The 6,067-nt window shown below is 52.3% G+C and overlaps 1 annotated feature.

Moving 5' to 3' along the window:
• Positions 5,202-5,702: an enhancer, noted in NCBI's record as "H3K4me1 hESC enhancer chr11:133863530-133864030 (GRCh37/hg19 assembly coordinates)". NCBI's record gives its function as "activates a minimal SCP1, AML or CMV promoter by ChIP-STARR-seq in primed H9 embryonic stem cells {active_cell/tissue: H9 hESC(primed)}" and the evidence as "EXISTENCE:reporter gene assay evidence [ECO:0000049][PMID:30033119]".

Raw genomic sequence — 6,067 nt, forward strand, 5'->3', positions numbered from 1 at the left:
TCCCGAACCCCTTATTCTCCACGTGACTGTGTTTCACTGGGCGGAACTTCGCCAGCCGCTCAGGACTCCTGCACTCACCTTTCCCCTTCTCCCGCTCCATGGCTATGGCCTCATCTCACCTCCCTTACCCAGCCCGGAGGCTGGGTTCACGCTGCCCAGCTCTCCTGCCGAGTGAGCCCCTCCTCCACTCGCCCTCTTTTCCCTCTGGCCCTTCTTCTCTATTTACCGGAGTCACCCGCAGGCCTGCTCTCCTCTCCCCACTCCTCGGGGGTCCTCATGGTCCCTCAGTCCACAGTGCTCTCTGCCTCTGGCCCTGCTCACCCACCCCCAAGGTGGCAACTGGTGTCTGTCGGCATCTTCTCCTTCCCATACTCTCCACCGGGCACCAGGCACATGCCCGCCTGTAGGGTTTTCTGGTGTCTTCCCTCCACAAACCTGCATCGAGGGTCTCCCATGCACTGGGCGCAGTGCCAGGAAGGAGGTCTTCCAGTACGCAACCACTCAGACCCTGGCCGATGGATGGCCAAAAGATGCATCGGCAAAAGAAGCAGTCCTGAGCTCACCCGCCTTCTCTGTCCCTTCACGGTCAGTAAGGAAAGGCCCAGGAGCAGCGTCCCCCCGGGGCAGGCACTCAAGTGCAGGCCTCTAGGACAGGGCCGCAGAGCCAGGGCTGCCACCAGCTAGCTTCTCTGGCCTCCTCCCCAAGGCATCAGGCCTGCCCTTGACTCAGTGACAGATTTGGCTGCTCCTCACCCACCGTCTGGCTGCATCCCTGCTAGCCCTGGGTTTCTGACCTCAGCTGCCACTGCCAGCAGGCTCCGTCGGCCACAGCCGTCTCCACGCCTAAGTGACAGCCCTGCTTGTCACTGTGGCCAGGCGGCAGCACGCTGTGTCCTTGGCTCTCTCCTGCCTGTGGCACACACTAGGCTGCCCCCTTGCCTGCTGCGGTTCTGCTCACACTCTGCAGCTGTACTGTTCCTCCCACCCAAGCTCCCCAGCACCTGGGGAAAGCTGACTGCGTCTGGCTTCGCATGTAACCTTGGCGAAACTCTTACCCCTTTCACACCTGCCCTCTCTTCTGTAGAATGGCAGTAATAAGGCACAGGACTGCTGGGAAGGGAAAACCAGGTCATGGGTGTGGAAGTGCTTTGCAAATCCCAAAGCCTATAAGATTCCAAGATAGATTTCTTATTATTCCGATTGCTATATTACGACCTGTCCCAAAGCTGATCACCTTCTAGCTGGACTGTGCAAACACTTCATACCTAGGGACACCTCCTCCGTCCCCAGCTAGATTCTGCAGGAGTCACTCATAGCTCAGCCCGGCAAGCTGAGGCCACAGGAAGACACCTCACAATTGTGGTGGGTAATTTTACCTGTCAACTTGTGTGGGCCACACGGGCCCAGATATTTGGCCAAGCACTGTTCTGTTTGCCTGTAATGTGTCTCTGGATGAGATGAGCAATTGAATCTGCAGACTGAGTAAAGCAGATGGCCCTTCCCAGTGTGGTGGGCCTCACCCAACCCACTGAAGACCTAAATAGAACGAGAAGTTTGACCCTCCCTCGAGGAAGAGAGAATTCCTCCTGCCTGACTACCTTCAAACTGGGACGGCAGCTTGTCTCTGCCTTCAGACTTGAACAGAAATGCTGGCTCTCCTGGGTCTCAAGCCTGCTGGCCTTCGGATGGGAACTATACCGTCAGCTCTTCCGGGTCTGTAGCTTGCTGACTGCAGATCTTGAGACTTGTCAGCCTCCGTAATTGCATGAGCCAATAACACACAGACACAGACACAGACACAGACACACACACACACACACACACACACTCACCCGTGCTGTTGCTTCTGTTTCTCTGGAAAACCCAATACAGCGATCTTCCAGTAGTCTTCATCAGGCTGTGTGTCAAATGGAAATGTGTTGGGGGATTTGGGGGTTGTCAGATGATTTAGGAGAGTAGACACTGCTAACATTTGGGGTTGAGGGTACGAGACACCAAAGGTCACCTAAAACCCATACTTGTCCTTTCGGACATTCTGGATGGAGGCTCTGCCAACCTTTCCAAGTCCCTGTCCTCTACTCTGGCAGCCACGAGAGCCACACAAGCAGCCCTGGCTTCCTTTTCTGTTTCTTAAACGTACCAAGCTGGTTGCTGCCTAAATATTTCACACCGGCAGTCTTTTCTCTTGGAGCAATCTCCCCTGCCCACTGCCAAGGGTTGAATGGCTGGTTCCTTCTTGTCCGCCCGGTCTCAGCTGTGACAGCACCAACTGAGAGAGGTCTTTCTTGATCACTCGGTCCAAGGTGGTCCCCCCGCCCCGAGACACTCTTTACTCCACCTGCCTTTCCTTCTCGTTCCCCCGTGGAAGGGCAGTGTGCTCTCCTTCCTCTCCCTGTTGTCTCTCTACCCCCACCAGAGTGTGTACCCCACAAGGACAAGAGCTGTAGGCTGCTCACCCCTGTATTCCCAGAACACGGTAGGAGTTCCGTCAGTGTTTATTAGACCTATGTTTGGAGCCTGCAATGTGCCAGATGCTATGCTGGGCACTGAAAGATGCGAGGTAGAACAAGCTCTTCCCACTACGGGGAGAGGTGTCTCTGGAATTTGTTTGGCAAAAGCCCCGTTGGCCTTTGGCATTCCTAGGGGAAAGCGCTGGGCACCAACACAGCCACCAAGACGTTATTCCTATGACCAGGCTGCTGCCTCAGTCCACAGGGGTGCGGGGCCCTCTCAACCTCCAGCCTGCTTAATCAGAGACACATCCCAGGGCCCTTGCCCTGTCAGCTCCCAACCCTCCCCTGACCCCACCCCACCCACCACATCCTGTCTCCGGAATCTAGAAGTCTGACAGTGTGCAGCCCCCCAGCAGGGCTCTGCGGCTAGCCCCACGCTGGGCCCCTCTGCCCAACCCCTGACACCCTGAGCACGTCATCAGGTGTGGCCGTCAGCATAGGAAGCAGCCATTGCACGTGGGAACGTTCCCCAAAGCCCCCACCCTCTCCAGACCACCTGCGATTTAGGCTTCCAGAATCCTACCTTGTCTCACGCGCAGACCCACTCAGGTTCAGAAGGATGGACCCACCCTGACCAGGACTTGGTCTTAAGGAGAGTGTTTCAAAAACTGCCTGACCTTCAACTTGATCCCAAATATCTCCTTGCTGACTCCGTGGGACTTCAGGTCGGTCAAGCCTCTGGGGCTTCTTGGCGAATCTCGAATTTGATGGTATATCTGGAAACCAGCTTCATGGGCTGTCTGCGGAGAGCAGTGGGCTTGAGCAAGACAACCAATGCTGTGGGAAGAGAATGCACTCGGAGAACGCACGGACTCATGGGGGCCAACACACACCGGGGCCTGTCGGAGGTCAATGGGGTCGGGGGAGGGAGCCTATCAGGAAGAACAGCCAATGCATGCTGGGCTTCATCCCTGGGTGATTCGATGGTCTCTGCTGCAAACCTCCATGGCACACCTTTACCTGCGTAACAAACCTGCGCATCCTGCACGTGTACCCCTGAACTTAAAATAAAAATTAGAAATTTGAAAAAAGAAAGAAAAGAAAATGCATTCAGAAATGGCAGTGAGCTGGCCCGGCTGGCACGCAGGTAGACACCCACTTGCTGAGACTCGAGATATCTGCTCCTGCCTTTGATTCTGGCACTGTCTCCAGAGCTTTGTGTTAAAAATGTAAATGTTATTATTCATATGCAACCTGGGAGGAGTAAAACATTAGTATTTCCGCACTGCCATTTTATCACCCTAGTAGATCAAATACCTGAGGAGAAAAAGCCGGAATAGGGTATCTAGGAAGAAGGAGGGGAAGGAAGTCCTGGAGACAAAGATTTTTGTTTCACAATTTTGCCTGAGGCCACACCTTCGTGATGCTCTCTGGAAGGGAACACCCCAGGCAGGAAAGGATCACCAGGTGTCAATCCCAGCTGGTATCACAGTCTGCCTCAGCCTTGCCCTAGGTCATTAGGAGTCAGAAGAACCACTGTCACCCTCTCCCCCGTTTAGAGATGTTAATCTGATCACTAACCTGTCTCTGCAAAGTGTGAACATTTGTTTTTCTTAGATCAGTTGATACAAGGTTGAAATTATTCAAAGGGAATTCTTAAAATATGAGACAGAAATGCAAAAAAACAGAAAATGCAGACAACTGTTTTCTCCTAACACAGTGCATCTCTTTCTGCGGGTGCAAATGGCCCTGCTGGCTGCTGGAATTTCCATGTCCTCAGAATCTAAGACTTCTGTTCAATAAAATTGTATCAAATCCCAGGGACATGGATGAAACTGGAAACCATCATTCTGAGCAAACTATCGCAAGGACAGAAAACCAAACACCGCATGTTCTCACTCATAGGTGGGAATTGAACAATGAAAACACTTGGACACAAGAAGGGGAACCTCACACACCGGGGCCTGTCGTGGGGTTGGGGGAGTGGGGAGGGATAGCATTAGGAGATATACCTAATGTAAATGATGAGTTAATGGGTGCAGCACCCCAACATGGCACATGTATACATATGTAACAAACCTGAACCTTGTGCACATGTACCCTAAAACTTAAAGTATAATAATAATAAAATTTAAAAAAATTGTGTCAAATCCATAGGTGTTTCATTTTTTCTTCAAGTTAAGCAAGCTTTATTATGTTATAACTTATTTGCACAGAAGCGATAGACTACAATAATATAAACTGCAGTGTAGATTGTAGTCAAACTTTCTAGTATCATGTATTTTCATTTGATCTACACATTTCAATCAAGCATATCTAATATATTTGCTGAAACCACTTGGAAGCTTGGACCAGGGGCTCACGTGAACCTCAGACTGAAGTCGTAGCTTCAGTGTGGTGTTGCCACTGTGCCTTCCTGGGGTGGGGCTCCGGGAGTGTGGGGGCAGAGCCAAACTTCTGCCTGCAGCCCAGGCTGCTGGAGCCGTGGCCTGGGTGGCACCTCCCAGCTGAGGCGGGGGCTACTCTCTCTGGCCCCCAGGCATTGCAGAGACAATCACCATGAACCACGAGGACGCTTCCTTTGTCCTTCTGGAAGGGTCTGTGGCTCTCAGCCTCCTCTCGCCCCAGCCTTCTCTGTCATAGTCCTCGCTCTGTCACTAACCAGCTGTGACCAAGGGCTTTGGGATCCATACTTGGGACTGGTCTCTCTACTTCAGTGCTTTGCAGTTTGACTTTCTGCAGTGATGGAGACATTCAATATGGCAGCCACTAGCCAAGCAGAGGGGGCTTCTCAGCACTTACAACATGGCCAATGTGCCTGAGGAACTGAGGTTCGAATTCTATTTCATCGTCATTAATTTAAATGTAAAAGGCCAGACATGGTGGCTCATGCCTGTAATCCCAGCACTTTGAGAGGCTGAGGCGGGTGAATCACCTGAGGTCACGAGTTCAAGACCAGCCTGGCCAACATAGTGAAAGCCCATCTCTACTAAAAATACAAAAAGGGGTGGTGTCATGTGCCTGTAATCCCAGCTACTTGGGAGGCTGAGGCAGGAGAATTGCTTGAACCCACGAGGTGGAGATTGCAGCCAAGATCACGCCACTACGCTCCAACCTGGGCTACAGAGCAAGACTCCGTCTCAAAAAAAAAAAAATGTAAAGAAACAGATATGCTAGTGGCTACCATTCCAGACAGTGCAGCCCTGGCGAGTGGCCACATGGGCACCGCCGTCACCAGAGGCCCCTGGCGCCTGTCAGGAACCTACGCGCCAGCCCTCCAGGCTGCAGGGACATGCACCTTGGAGCTTACATTTAAAGACCTACCCAGTCTAAGAGATGCTTTCTTTTCATCATATCTGCGCAGCAGATTTATACCTTTAACCTTTAATTATAGCGTCAGCCTACGGAATGATCTGTTTCTCTCCAGGTTGGATAATGGGCTCTGCCACCACTAGGAGATCTTTACTTCTCCCTTGTGGGTGCCAGAGGGGGGTGCCACTGAGGAGAAATACCTGAGTGGAGAGGAGGAAACGCAGCCATACTGTGCAGCACCTAAATGCCAAGGAAAGGAGTTCAGGCGTGATGCCTTCAGCAGTGAAAAATCCTTGAAGATT

Source organism: Homo sapiens, chromosome 11 (genome assembly GCF_000001405.40).
Source record: "Homo sapiens chromosome 11, GRCh38.p14 Primary Assembly".
NCBI lineage: Eukaryota > Metazoa > Chordata > Mammalia > Primates > Hominidae > Homo > Homo sapiens.